Source organism: Homo sapiens, chromosome 22 (genome assembly GCF_000001405.40).
Source record: "Homo sapiens chromosome 22, GRCh38.p14 Primary Assembly".
Lineage (NCBI taxonomy): Eukaryota > Metazoa > Chordata > Mammalia > Primates > Hominidae > Homo > Homo sapiens.
The window spans coordinates 25,618,741-25,634,107 of record NC_000022.11 but is presented as its reverse complement, the minus strand read 5'-3'; the positions used below and the strand labels follow the sequence as shown (position 1 = coordinate 25,634,107).

At 42.2% G+C, this 15,367-nt stretch overlaps 1 protein-coding gene across 4 annotated transcripts in view, besides 3 other annotated features; it reads right to left on the bottom strand.

Annotated features, from left to right (window-relative positions):
* The window catches only part of GRK3 (G protein-coupled receptor kinase 3), a 164,620-nt gene that overhangs the window by 95,187 nt on the left and 54,066 nt on the right, over positions 1–15,367 (bottom strand). The gene's annotated exons all lie outside the window — the stretch shown is intronic.
* Positions 10,544–10,613: a silencer, noted in NCBI's record as "silent region_13564". NCBI's record gives its function as "represses an Ori minimal core promoter by ATAC-STARR-seq in GM12878 lymphoblastoid cells {active_cell/tissue: GM12878}" and the evidence as "EXISTENCE:reporter gene assay evidence [ECO:0000049][PMID:35858748]".
* Positions 10,624–10,673: a silencer, noted in NCBI's record as "silent region_13563". NCBI's record gives its function as "represses an Ori minimal core promoter by ATAC-STARR-seq in GM12878 lymphoblastoid cells {active_cell/tissue: GM12878}" and the evidence as "EXISTENCE:reporter gene assay evidence [ECO:0000049][PMID:35858748]".
* Positions 13,442–14,228: an enhancer, noted in NCBI's record as "OCT4-NANOG-H3K27ac-H3K4me1 hESC enhancer chr22:26015847-26016633 (GRCh37/hg19 assembly coordinates)". NCBI's record gives its function as "activates a minimal SCP1, AML or CMV promoter by ChIP-STARR-seq in naive and primed H9 embryonic stem cells {active_cell/tissue: H9 hESC(naive and primed)}" and the evidence as "EXISTENCE:reporter gene assay evidence [ECO:0000049][PMID:30033119]".

Genomic DNA, 15,367 nt, shown 5'->3' with positions numbered 1-15,367 from the left:
AAATCAAATTAGAAAGTCATGAATTGAATGGTGAAAAATACAAACATAACTAATAATCATGAAATCAAAGAGAAGAAGAAAATGAAATGGACAAAAGCAAGCTGGTTATTGAAAGACCTTAAAAGCTAGGGACAAACACCTAGACAGTAACATGAAGGTCTAGAAATAAAAATTAAATTATCCAAAGAGCAGATAGTGAACACTCACCATAACTATGTTGTATGGAATAATAAAAAGCCCTAATAATCAAATTATCAAATTATTTTAATGCATTTTCTTATAAAGTTTCAAAAGTTTGACCAACCAAAGCATTAAAATAAAACATGAAAAACAAACTATTTAAAATATTATCATGAAATACACAATCAACCATTTTGCCAAGAGATAATGGAATCAAAAGTGCCCTATATTATAATTTGCTTGAGAACTAAATTAATTAAATAGATGTATTCATATATATGGTACACATTCCATATTGATATTTTTATTTATTAGTACTGAACAATGGGAAATTTAAACTTAAGCAACAGGACAATTAATAATAACATTAAAAAAACCCAACACTTACGAATAAATCTAACCAGATATGTGCATGATTTGTATGCTAAAAACTACAAAATACTAATGAACAAAAACAGAGGTGATCCAAATAATTAAGAATAAAACCATGTTCATGGAATGGATCGGAAGACTTGATATTGGTAAGATGGCCATTCTTCCCAAATCAATCTATACACTTAACATGATCCCAGTCAAAAATCCAGCAGAAATTTTTGTAAAAAATCAATAAATGGATTCTAAAATTTATATTAAAAATCAAAAGAACTAGAATAATAAACTTTTTGAAAATAACAAAAAGGATTTACACTATCTGGTTCAAGATATATTATAGGCCGGGCACAGTGGCTCACACCTGTAATCCTAGCACTTTGGGAGGCCGAGGCGGGTGGATCACTTGAGGTCAGGAGTTCGAAGCCAGTCTAGCCAACATGGTGACACCCTGTCTTTATTAAAAATACAAAAAAAAAAATTAGCCAGGCTTGGTGGCAGGTGCCTGTAATCCCAGCTACTTGGGAGGCTGAGGCAGGAGAATCACTTGAACCTGGGAGGCAGAGGTTGCAGTGAGCCAAGATCACGCCACTGCACTCCAGCCTGGGTGACAGAGCAAGACTCTGTCTCTAAAAACAAAAAAACAAAAAGGATATATTATAAAGATACAGTAATCCAGGCAGTATGCTGTTGGAGAAAAGGATAAACACATAGATCAATGAAAAAGAATACAGTCCAGAAACAGATCTACATATACATAATCAATTGATCTTTCACCAAGGTGCAAGGATGATTCAATGAGAAGAAAGCCTTTTCAACAAATGGTGCTGCAACATTGAACATCTCTGCAAAAATATGTGATTCCTACAAAAATTAACTCAAAATGGATAATAGAATTAAATATAAATCTTCAAACTATAAAATTGTAGGAAAAAATTCAAGAAAATCTTTGCAACCTTGGGTTAAAGCAAAGGTCACCAAGATCCAACAAGATCTATAAGAGTGAAAACTGGCAAATTCAATTTCATTATACTTTAAAACTTCTGTTCTACATGCTTAAGAAAATGCAAAGACATGCCACATATTTGGAGAAAATATTTGCAAAATATATATCTGCTAAAGGACTTGTATCCAAAATATATGAAAGACTCTCAAAATGCAATAATGAGAACACAAACCAATATTTTTGAGCAAAAGACTTGAACACACTTTCACCAAAGAAGATATATAAATGTCAACTGAGCACATGAAAAATTAACATCATTAGTCATTAGGAAAATACCAATTAAAATCACAATAAGATAATCCTATATACTTACTAGAATAACAAAAGCAAAAAAGAAAAGACAATAGCAATGCTGGTAAGGATGTGGAGCAGTTGGAACTCTTAGACTGCTAGTAGGAATGCAATTTGTAAAGCCTCTTTGAAAGCAGTTTCTTTAAACAAACATTTGTCATTTGACCCAATAATCCCACTCCTAAGTATTTACCAAGAGAAATAAAAATGTATGCTCTTATAGTCACATAGAAATCTGCAAACAGATACTTAAAGTAGCTAGCTTTACTCGAAACAACCCAAATGTTCAGTTGGTGGATGGATAAACCAACTGCGATGCATCCATACAATGGAAGCTTCCCAATACACGGGAATGAACTACTCATACGTGCAAAGTGCGTCTCAAACACATCATGCTAAATAAAAGGAACAAAAGGTTACATGCTAAGTGATTCCACTTATAAGACATTCTGGAAAAGGAGAAATCACAGGAACAGAAAACAGGTCCATAGTTGCCAGGAGCTGGAGCATAAGCTGTGGGTTGACTACGAAGGGTCACCAGGAATTTGGAGAGGTAACTAACTGCTCTGTATCTTGATTTTGGTAGTAGCTGCACACTTTATGCGTTGGTCAAAACTCACAGAATTGTAGATCTAATTGCTGAATTTTACTTTATTTAAATTATACCTCAATAAACCTGCACCTCCACCCTCCACCTAAATAAAAATAGCACCATGAAAGAAGAAAGAAAAATAAAATTGGACACATACAGTTGAGCCAGGAATAAAGCTCAGAGATGTTCCCTCACAGTGGCTGTAAATAGGCCACAAATTGGAATCTAAAATTTCTAGAAGCCAGCCTGATCACTTGCATAGTTCTCAATGTCTACAGGATGTTTTCATAAACACAAGTTTGTATGGAGGATAAAATTATTCACACACATAAGTGTGGACTAAAATAAGTCATTAGAAAGGTTCTTGGTAATACAGAGGTCATAAACAAGTACTCTGACACGTCCAGGATACACAACATTCTTCACAAATGAAAATAAGGGAAAGTGTAGATGACAAATAAAAAAGCAAATTCATAAATAAAGAAAAAAGCATATAGCTATAAAACCTGAAAACTCCCATAAGATGTCATGTCCCTACTGGCTAGGGATTACTAACCTACATTCCCAATTAACAATTCTCTGCTTTTTTTCTTCCAAGTTCCAATAGGAGCAAATAAACATAAATCAAAGTGAGTATTCAGTTAACTATAATCATCTATTTCATATAAGCCTTAAATACGCTTATTTTTATTTAACTCTACATTTCAAACTGGAACTTTTACTTCTTGACTTAAAACTTTACAGGAGGAGAAAATTATAAATGAAATATAATTTGGGAATATTGTAAACAGTTGGATCTTCTTCTAAAACCCAAGTTCTCCATCCTGCCCACAATTTAAATTCAACACATACGTATTCTTCCAGCATATCAATAAAATATTCCTAGATTAATTAATGGGATCATTCATTTAGATAACGGAGAGATTTTGAGCCATGAATATTAAGAGTCCAACAGACAAAAGCACAAATGGAAATGAATGTGGCCAAAGAAAAATTCATGGAATGTTCCAAGCAATTGGCTCTTGACTCAAAAAGGAACAACGCGAACTGGGACTGGGAGGGAAATGTAAGAATGTAGGGGCGAGAAAATTCTATCAAACCCTTCCAATGGCTGGATTGCTTTCAGCCTTTTAAAACCATTATATAATGACAGAAAAGTAAAAATTTCTGACTATGCCACCATGCTAATACTCCTCTCCAGATTGCACTCAATTTTTTCATTTATCACAGTTCTCTGCACATCAGACAGTAAACAAACTGACAGTTAAAATAAGAGAGATTTAAAATAATTTAAGATAAAATAGAAATATTATTCAAATAAGCCATACGACTTACATTTCCCAGAGACTTCTCTAAGAACAAATATTAAAGCTGGCATTATGGAAATCAGGGTCTGAGTGTACAACACAAATCATCTATCCACCTCTCCGGACAAAGTGGGGGTGGGGAGGTTGTAAGCATGCTGAGTCTAACCATAATTTTAACAAGGAAGAAACAGAATAAGAGCCAACCAATCGATACACATGAGTTTGCTTTGTGATAATTCATGTGGCTATGAACTCATGATTTCAGTACTTTTCTATATGTATGTTTTATTAAATCAATAAAAGTTTATTGAAAATAAGAGAATCAGCCAGGAAGTATTTATGGCATGATACTAGAATGTAAAATGAAGGGGTCTTCAATGCAATTGTACTCTAATTGGAGATCCTGATAGCTACACACAAAATGATAACACTTACTTGTCTTGTATTAAGTGCCAAATTCACTTGGTAGAGGAGAAATGCTAAAACGTCAGTGTTCCTTCCTTAGATGACAGCAACAGCACCCTCACTAAGCTCCCAGCCACCTGTCATCCTCCTTTCCAACTCATCCTTCATGCTACTCACATCAGATCTGGAGCTGATCATGACACTTCCTTGCTTTGAAACTTTCCATGGGTGTTGCAGAGGATGTTGGATAAGACATTCATGTTACTGCAACACACACCACGCTCTGTCCTGTACCTCTACCATGCAAATGCACTGGCATAGACCTGACCTGCCCAGACCTGACCTGCCCACCCACCAGCCAGGTGTCCCTTACGACTTACAGTCCCTTGCATAGAGTTGGGAGAAAAGACATCGAAGTCATCACAGTGATTTCTTAATGGCCTTGGCCCAGAGGGGACACACCCCACTTTTCTGAAAAGATGGGAGAAACTAGTAACCGTAGTTGCCTTTGGGGTGATGGTGGTTCCAGCAGGTTCCAGCACCCACAGCTCCATATGCTGTATTAACCTATTTACCGTAAATCCTGCCTCTGTATCTGCACATGGACTCCTTCCATCTCGGCAGCCACCCTCTCTTCACCAATCCCCTGGCAATTCTCTGCCATCCACTTGTCTAGCCCCTTTCTCACAAACCTCTTTTCCTGCAGGCTTGACCTGGTTAACACCTGCTACACCTTTAGGGCTTCAAGCGAGCACCACAGAAAGCAGCACACTTGGAAGTCCGCTCCCCGAGGCAAGGCAGAGCTGCCCCTTCTATGCCCCCACAGCACTGGGTTCTTACCATTTTCAGAGCATGATCTGGCTTTATTACAATGATTTGTTTTTATTTTATAAATGAATAATATAGTTCAAAATTGCTAAAATATATTTTAAAAGTTTTCCCCTCTTTCCTGCCCTTCATCTTCCTGCCCAGTCACGTACCACCATCACCACCCCCAAGGCACCTGCTGTTATTAGTTTCTTCCATCTTTTCAGGGAAGTGGGGTATGTCACCTCTGGGCCACGGCTGTTAAGAAATCGATGTGACAGCTCTCTGCAAGGGACTCCCAAGTCCTAAGGGACACCAGTGCCACAAGATGGAAGTGCATGGAGAAAAGCCTCATGCTGATCTGTAACAACCTGTTACAAATGTTACAGGCTTGTGACAACCTGTGACAAGCACTGTTACCAAATGAGAAAGAACATTCCCTGTGTACAGTCCCTGACATTCTGGGGTTTCCTTGTTACAAGTGTTTGTATTACCTTCGAATACAATATAAAAGCAAGTGCAAACATGAACTCTAATTTTCCACTGTACTCTATACACACTGTCAACATCAGCCTTTTTTCCAAAACACTATGCCTTGGAGATCTTCCTATACCAGTCAGGAGGAGCTACTTGATTCTCTTTTATAACCGCATGGCATTCCATCTCATAATTTACATAACTTGCTCTCCAATGAATATTTGGGTTGTGCCAAATATTTTGCTTTTACAAAACTGCTGCAATAAATAACCCTCTACATCCACTTTTTATCATGTATTCAGTACACTTGCAGGATACCTTCCTCAGAGAAAAACTTGTAAGTTAAACGTCATATGGACACTTTGTTATTTCAATAGACATGGCCACACTAGCCTCTGCTGGAGTAGTATCTATTTTTACTACCACCAGCAATGGATAGGAGTGCCCATTTTGAAACCCACTGCCATACCAAAAGTGTGTTCTTTAACTTTGGGCTTTTTATCAATTTGAAAGATAACAAAATAACATTTCAGAGCACCTTTGTGTTTCTCTTATTTTTGAATAACATTGAAAATCTTTTCTTAGGTTTAAGTTCCATCTGTTTCCCCGTTTTAATGACCTGTCTGTCTCTCAATAGGACCTTTGCCCAGTTTTACCCTGGATGATGGGGCTTTTGCATAGAAGGTTCTAGGGCTTTTCTGTATTGGGATTTGCAAGTCAATACTATTGCTTAAGGAATCCTCTGTATGTCCACCTCTCAGGTACTTGGTCAGATCCATGTGAGTGATCTGTGTGTCTGTTCCTGGCTCCTTGTCATTCCTGGCGTTGACAGAAATGCCTCTAGCATCCTCCTCTTAAACATGACAGTGGCCTTTGAAATAGACAGCCTGCATGATGTTAAGGATGGACACATCTCTTCCTAGTTCAATAAGTAGCAGCTGGTTCCTCATTTGTCTCCCTGACTAGGCTGTGGGCTACAAGAGGGAAGTGGTCTGTTTTTGTTTATTTTTCTCTCTAATCTCTAGCACAATGGCTAGTACTTAATTGGCTCAATGAACGTTGGATAAATTTACTTAAAGGAAGATCAGATGGTTGTGGTACAGTCACAGATGGTTTCAGGAAGACATTAAGTGCAAGCTAGACTTGGAAAGATTAACGGGCTATAGAGTCAGGAGAAAGAATGAATCAGTGCTCAAAGGCAGGAAATTTAGCTTGAGATAAGGAAAGAGTGTGACTTCAATTTAGGCAGAGCAAGTTCCTACAGGGAAAAGGTGGAAGGTATGCTTTATTACGCCAAGGAGGCTCAGGGAGGGTTGGCCTTCAGCCACCAGGCTAAGGGATCCAGCCTCAGAAATTCCAATACTTAATATTTATCAGTTATATAATCCTCTGCTTGCTGAAAGCTTCAAATGCCAAAAAGCCTGCTGGGGAATAGTTTTTAGTATAAGTGGGCAATTGTTTCATAAAAAATAAAAACTCGGCTCTTGAGCCCAGTTCTGAGGATTTTAGAGAAGAAACTCTTTCTCCCCAACATGGGAGTCCCTGAGCAAGGCTGAAGGTAGGTATTATGAATCTGTCCTCCTTCCCCTTCCCCAAGGTACTCTGCAATATGACACTTATCTGCCATGACACCTGTCCCCAGATGGCCCTTGCATCCTCTTCCCTGTCCCTAACCTTACCTAAAATAGGTACTTGGGTGTCAACACCTATACACTAATAGTGCCTGCCTACCTCTGCCCCACTGAATATTTCTATTAGAATGTGAAGATGTTATCAAAAGCCTTCAAGACTCAAAAGACTAAACCCATAACAGTGGAACACCAGGTGGTATGGGTGCCACTGCCAACCCACTGGGGGCAGACGATAGCCCTGACTGTGCACCGATCTTCAAACCTGCAGCCTGGTGCTATGCCGCCCCGACCAGCTTGTGGTTAGAGCTGCTTTTCATATTTACTGTGAAATCTAATGCATATAAAATGACTACTTGCTAGAGCAATCAGATGGTTTCTGTGATTATTTTGCCCCAATTCATTTTAACTTATAACCAACTGAATATAATAATTTGTCAATTAAATAACAGAGGTATTTTTTTAAAGTCATCTGGTAAGTTGTGAATACCTCTAGTGAGAGTTCACTCTGAATGTTTTAAAGGGAGTAACACCCAGTGCCTTAATAGCATCCCGGAAGTGGGGATATCTCTTGCGGAAATGAAGTTGGCTTGATCAGTGAACACTCCCTCTCACTCCCTGTACAAGGGAAGGGCAGTGGACACAGCTGCTATTCCCTGATCCCTACTCAAAACAGCTGCCCAAAGGATCCCTCTATTTCCACAGATATTCATCCTATCACCCATCCCAACAGTGCACAAACATCTGCAAGTCCTACGGCAAGACGACTTGGAGACAGGTGCGTGGGCTAAGACTTCACACTAAGAGAATCATCATCGGCCTGGCGCGGTGGCTCACGCCTGTAATCCCAGCACTTTAGGAGGCTGAGGCGGGCAGATCACAAGGTCAGGAGATCAAGACCATCCTGGCTAATGTAGGGACCAGCCCCACAGGGTCAGTGGGTCTCTCCCCATGTGCGGCGACGAGAGAGTGTAGAAATAAAGACACAAGACAAAGAGATAAAAGAAAAGACAGCTGGGCCCAGGGGACCACTACCACCAATGCACGGAGACCGGTAGTGGCCCCGGATGTCTGGCTGTGCTGTTATTTATTGGATACAAAGCAAAAAGGGCAGGGTAAAGAGTGTGAGTCATCTCCAATGATAGGTAAGGTCACGTGGGTCACGTGTCCACTGGACAGGGGGCCCTTCCCTGCCTGGCAGCCGAGGCAGAGAGAGAGAGGAGACAAAGAGAAAAACAGCTTACGCCATTATTTTTGCATATCAGAGACTTTTAGTACTTTCACTAATTGACTACTGCTATCTAGAAGGCAGAGCCAGGTGTACAGGATGAAACATGAAGGCAGACTAGGAGCATGACCACTGAAGCACAGCATCACAGGGAGACGGTTAGGCCTCCGGATAACTGTGGGCGAGCCTGACTGATGTCAGGCCCTCCACAAAAGGTGGAGGAGCAGAGTCTTCTCTAAACTTCCCCGGGGGAAGGGAGACTCCCTTTCCCGGTCTGCTAAGTAGCGAGTGTTGTTCCTTGACACTTTTCGCTGCCGCTAGACCACGGTCCGCCTGGCAACGGGCATCTTCCCAGATGCTGGTGTCACCGCTAGACCAAAGAGCCCTTCTGGTGGCCCTGTCTGGGCATAACAGAAAGTTCGCACTCTTGTCTGCTGGTCACTTCTCACTGTGTCCCCTCAGCTCCTATCTCTGTATGGCCTGGTTTTTCCTAGGTTATGATTGCAGAGCGAGGATTATTATAATATTGGAATAAAGAGTAATTGCTACAAACTAATGATTAATGATATTCATATATAATCATCTCTAAGATCTATATCTGGTATAACTATTCTTGTTTTATATTTTATTATAGTGGAACAGCTCGTGTCCTCGGTCTCTTGCCTCGGTGCCTGGGTGGCTTGCCGCCCACAGCTAACACGGTGAAACCCCGTCTCTACTAAAAATACAAAAAATTAGACAGGCGTGGTGGCAGGCGCCTGTAGTCCCAGCTACTTGGGAGGCCGAGGCAGGAGAATGGCATGAACCTGGGAGGCAGAGCTTGCAGTGAGCCAAGATCACGTCACTGCACTCCAGCCTGGGAGACAGAGCAAGACTCCGTCTCAAAAAAAAAAAAAAAGAGATTCATCATCTAATATACACTCTTTATATTAAATGCTGCAAATAACAGTTTGATACTAATGGCAGTTAAAATCATTGTGTGCGGAAACAGAAAGTTAACCAAAAAAGAAGAGTCAATTCCTCAGATGTGTAAAATACTGAACTAGAAGCTTTAGAATTACAAAGAGAAAATAGCGTCAGAGATGAGCTTTGATCTCAAGGATCAGTTGGGAAACATTAAAGAGGCACCTCACAGTACTATACTTTCCACAGTAAGCGCCAAATGAATGCTACAGACAATGAGTAGAGCAGGAACATCAAAAGAGATTATTCATAGTCAGAAATCAGGGTTTTTTGTTTTTGTTTTTGTTTTTAATGATGGAGTCTCACTCTGTCACCCAGGCTGGAATGCAGTGGCGTGATCTAGGCTCACTGCAAGCTCCACCTCCCGGGTTCACGTCATTCTCCTGATTCAGCCTCCCAGGTAGCTGGGACTACAGGTGCCCGCCACCACACCCAGCTAATTTTTTTGTATTTTTAGTAGAGAGGGGGTTTCACCGTGTTAGCCAGGATGGTCTCGATCTCCTGACCTCGTGATCCGCCCGCCTCGGCCTCCCAAAGTGCTGGGATTACAGGAGTGAGCCACCGCGCCTGGCCAGAAATCAGGGTTTTAAGCTAATCCTTGAATGGTGAATCTCTCTGAAGAGCATAGGAAAGGAGGTGGCCTTCCACAGAGGGAGACAGACTGAAAGCAGATGCGGGGTGCCAGGAGCATGACGCATGTTCACAATGAACGCTGAAATTAAAAGATAAGGAAAAAAAAGATGGAGGCAAGTTCTGGGTACCTGAGTGACAGGAACAAGCTGACTGCACCCTGCAGTGGGGGCTTAGGAAAGCTTCGGAATGCAATCACACCGTGACCAGACTATGTTTTCAGACTGCCGGATAACAGGAAAAGAGCTGGAGATTGGAAGTGCCTGATCCTGACTCCTGGCCGGAGGCTATGTTTCCCAGCAAAAATTAAAAGTTTAACAAAAGGGCTGGAGAAAGAAAAAAATTAATATAGGATAGCCAGTTAGGAAGGTCCTGAACTATCTGGGTCAGAGTAATAATGGCATAATTAAAGTGGCTGTGGTGGAAATGGAGGATGATGGGGCAGGAGAGACAAGGACGAGAAGGCATCAGCGAGGCTTCAGAGCTTTGAATCCTGGACAGCTTGGAGAACAGCGGTGTCATTAATGTCAATAGAAAGGGAGGAAAGGACACCAGGTGTGCATGTGCATATGTGCGTGTGCATGAATACAGGTGTGTAGGTTTCTTAGTTTGTGTTTTTCTGGTCAGGGAGGAGATAATTAGTGAGGTATTTGATCTGTTCTGGTAGAGGCAAGGGCAACACATTACACTAGAAACAATCACTCATTATGAAACGAAACCACAGAACTGAAATGAGCTGGCTCACTAAGGCTGCACCAAAGCTGTGCCATCAAGTAAGTGCAGAGGTTACTTGTGGGAAGGGACAGATGCAAACAAGGACACAGGAGACAGAGAGCAGCACAAGCCAAAGGCAGGGGCTTACACGGCGGGAATTAGGAAGGCCCAATGCCATCGTAGCCGCATCACTCTGTCTCGTCATTTCATCTTTCTGCGCATTAGCTAGCTCCTCTCCTTCTATAGTTTTGAATAACTTACGAAAGTATGGCCGGGCATGGTGGCTCACACCCATAATCCAGCCCTTTGGGAGGCTGAGGCAGGCAGATTGCTTTGAGGTCAGGAGTATGAGACCAGCCTGGACAACATGGAGATACCCCGTCTCTACAAAAAATACAAAAATTAGCCACATGTGGTGGCACACACCTGTGTTTTCAGCTACTCAGGAGACTGAGGCTGGAGAATCACTTGACCCCGGGAGGCAAAGGTTGCAGTGAGCCAAGATCGCGCCACCGCCCTCCAGCCTGGGTGACAGAGTGAGACCCTATCTCAAAAAACAAAAACAAAAGAAAATATGCTTTATAGAATGTATTTATTCCCCTAAATTACAGAAACTATGTATACACTTACCCCCAAACTATGGCATTGAACTACTCCTTGAGTCTTCTCTTCCCTATTCAGTTCTGGCTCCAGAATATGTCCCAGGCCACCCATTCTTACATCTCTGCTGCTCTTACTCTAACAAAAGCCACCTTTGGCGACTTCCTAAATGCGACAGGGGTCTCCAGATTCTTCTTCCTGTTTCCATGCTCCCACTCTGATCCCAGCAATTCATTCTTCATAAAGAGGCTAGAATGATCTTAAAACATACATCGGGCCTGGTCAAGACCCACCAGAGCTTCCCATCACACTCAAAACCCTGGCTCCTGCGCAGTTCCCTGCCTCCCCTCTTTTCTCTCATCAGGAGCTGCCTGCGTGGGCCTTCTGGCAGTTTCTGAAACACACTGCACTCCCTCTTGCCCTGGCTGATGACGACGCTGCTCCACATGATCCCCTGATCACATCCTCAAAGAAATGTCCCCTAAACAACTAACCTATGTAAGCGCTACTCGGTCTCCTTCAGGTCCTGGCTCTTCACGATCCCACTGCACAGCAAACGCTATGATCTGGCTGATACCCTCAGACGCTGAGGGAGCTGATCCCCGCATCCCGCCCAAGGTCAGTGTTCCCTGCATTCCAGGACCTGCTGCACACCGACAAGCTGCATGGTTCTACCAACTCACTTCTCTGCCAGTGTTCCTTAGTTTCGTCATCAATCAAATGAAGGGGCTGGAATGCATAGACTCTGAGGTTTCACTTAGGCCTAACATTCTGTGGTTTCATGAATTCAAGTGGGGTCAGTTTTGATTTCATTCTCTTCTGCTGGGGATCTTATTGCTATTTTGACAAAGAGAGGAGGGGTTTAAAGAAAAAAAAGGCAAAGGATGCCAACAGGACACAGTTGGAAAAACTGGTTATTTTACCAAGGCTTTAACTGAAACAGTGTGTTTCCCTTTAAGGAATCAAGCTTAACATGTAGAGCCAATAAAAGCCCCTTGGGGAGAACTGGCCCCATACCTTGTCTATAGTCTCTGCACAGGGTTCCTAACCTGTGGTCAGTAAAGAATGTCACTTTCTAACAGGTCTGGGAGCTCCCAGTTTATCTTGGGACCTCAAGAGGAGAGGATCACCCAACTCACAGGTATTTGAGGATACAAACCCATGGCTGGGCTCAACTTTAAGGGTCTTGTCTAAGATTCCTTGTGGAATAGAGTTTCATCAAAGCTAATCCAAAAGGTCCATGTAAAAATAACCATTCTTGCTGCCCTTTATGCAAATAATCAGGCCAAGTATAAGACTAAAGTTTATTCATAATTAGTTTTTACCAAAAATGAGGACTGGAGAGAAAAATTTTGCTCCAAAGGTTATCATATATTTGTCATTAAATCCTAGTCTCACTAATTGTTTTTAAGCTTTTTGCCTACATTTTAGACTAACTCTGCCTATTCCTGTGAATCAAATGGTGATCTTCTGCAGCTTGAAAAAAAGAAAAAATAGGGATGGGTAACGTAAACATGTGAATCAATATACTAGTTCTGGGCAATTATCTTGCAAATTCTGCCAGGTAATGAAAGTGAGTAAGGTGCCCATAACCCAGAGGTTTCTTTGTTTGGGAAAATAAAACCAAGGAACTTCACAGACCCCCAAAGGGGAATTCTATATGTTGGCAAGTAAAATTTTAGATGGAAATTACCTACCACACCACACTTGTGGGAATTGCTGTCCTCACTCTACTATCTCTATAGCAGGGATAATAGTTACTAACAAAAAGGAAGCATGAAAGTTTTACTATCACTAAGTCTGCTAGGACTTTTTATTGGGTCTAGTGACGCACTTTTAAATGAAACATGCTGCTTTTGGATGAACACCTCTAGTATAGTAAAGGAAAATCTACAGGTACTTAAAGATCAAATCAAAATTATTGACAGGCTCAAGGAAAATGCTGGCTTCAGTCCCGAGTGGCTACAATCCCTCTTTAATAAATTCCAGTCTTCTTGATGGAATTCGTTAACCCCTTTATTAAGCCCCCTCTTACTGATATGTCTTGTATTGATATTTGGACTCTGTATACTCAATACTACAACTCAAATTGTTTCTTCTTGCCTAGCAGCAATCAAACTCCAAACGGTGCTGTCAACTGAACCACACAAGGACACGCCATTCTTCTGAGGACCCTTAGATGGACTCCAGGAGGAGGCCTAGCTGCTGTTCCCCATTCAACACCCCTTTTCTGCAGGAAGTAGCCAGAAAGAGTTGTCGCCCAAAACCTCCTAACAGCAGCTAGTGGGGCGTCTCCACTGGGAGGAATGTTGTAGGAGTTATTAAGAAAGTATTTTAGGCAGACAAGGAGGAAAAGTTTTGGGAAGTTTTCATTTTTTAAAGCCTCTTGGGAAAAGCTTCTTGTAAAGCCCCTGCTCTTAGAGCCGGGCTGGCAACCTTTGATATGCAAATGCAGGCAATTAGAAACTAGGTCCACCCAACACGACAATCCCCACAATCCCTGCGGGACTTCTTGCCCTTGCCCAACATGTTCCTGGCAACCTAATGGCCCTCACATATCCCCACGTGTGCAGAACATCATGGTGCCCTGCATTTGCATATTAAAAGGCTAGGGTGGGAGGGCCAGCTTTTTCGCGGGCTATGTGAAAGACAGGCCTGGTCAAACCAATCCCGAGCCCTGTGCAAAACAGACACTGCCTTCTCCAGCCTCTCTATATATACACCTGGCTGGTTTCCGCCCCATTTGGGGTTCCCTCTCTTGGCTTTGAAGCGCCCCTCCCTCTGTCTCTGTACAGGGGAGCTTCTTCCTTCTCCCTTCCTTCTTGCCTATTAAACTCTCCACTCCTTAAAACCACACACACACACACACACACACACACACACACACACACACACACACACACAAAAAAGACAAAGGAAAGGAAGAGTAAAGGAAGGAATGTGAGGAGCAGGAGAGAGTAAAGGAAGAGAGAAGGGGGAGAGGGAACCACTTTCTGTGAGAAATGAATCATAATGCTTTCTCCTGGCAACAAGTAGCTACCTCAGGAAGAAACCAACCACTTCATAGATGTTCCAGCACCACCTAACCTGCTGCTGCCCCTTAAGACATTTCAAATACTTAGTTTGGTCTGGCTCAGTGGCTCATAATCCCAGCATTTTGGGAGGCTAGGGTAGGAGGATCACTTGAAGCCAGGAGTTCGAAACCAGCCTGGGCAACAGCCAGATCCTATCTCTACAAAAAAAAAAAAAAAAAAAAAAAACTAGCCAGGTATGATCGTGTGCACCTGTAGTCCTAGCTACCCTGGAGGCTGAGATGGGAAGATCACATGAGTCCAGGAGTTCGAGGCAGCAGTGAGCTATGATCACGCCACTAAACTCCAGCTTGGGCAACAGAGCAAGACCCTTTATCGAAAACAACGACAACAAAAACTCCTTACTCAGCTTAGTATAGTGGTCAAAAGCTTTAGCTTGGAGTGTGGTAGACTCCACCTCAGCCCATCACTATGTGCAAGACACCAGGCAAATCCCTTCACCTCTGAGGCTCGGCTCCTTGCCTGTAAAAGGGGGCCAAGAATGATCTGCACAGGGTCATTCTGAAGACTAAATGAGATCACGTATGTAGAGCACTGAGCACCAAGGGGCTCATTAACTGTTATCATGACCCAAACTGTATGGATACAGCCTTTTCTAAAGCTTCTTAGACTTACCTGTGCTGTTATGGGTAACCTGGAAGCCAACCATCATGTTTGTGTTGCACCATGAAGTTATAACAAAGGCGCTATATGTCTAGGATTTTACAGGGAGTCTCAGTTTCAAGTATTTATCAAATTTTCTCACCAAGAGCCAAATATTTCAAAAATGAAATTATACTTCAAGGGCATAATACAATAATAAGGACCAGACTTAATCTCTCACCATGACCAGCCAGGAAGCTAGAGAGAAAAGTTCTATGAAATAACTGTTTTCAGACATGGAAAGGGTTGCGGTCTTTCAGAGAAGGAAAATAAACTAGGAGGATCCCAGGATGAGCTGGCTCTTGGCCTAGAGGTACCTTAGGACAGTGGTCAACTGCACTGAACTGCAGCGCTAGGAGGGACACCCAAGCAGACCTTGGTGGTCTTGCTGAGGTGAGGGCATCAAGAGTTCAGGGATGCAGAGGTTCCTGGAAAC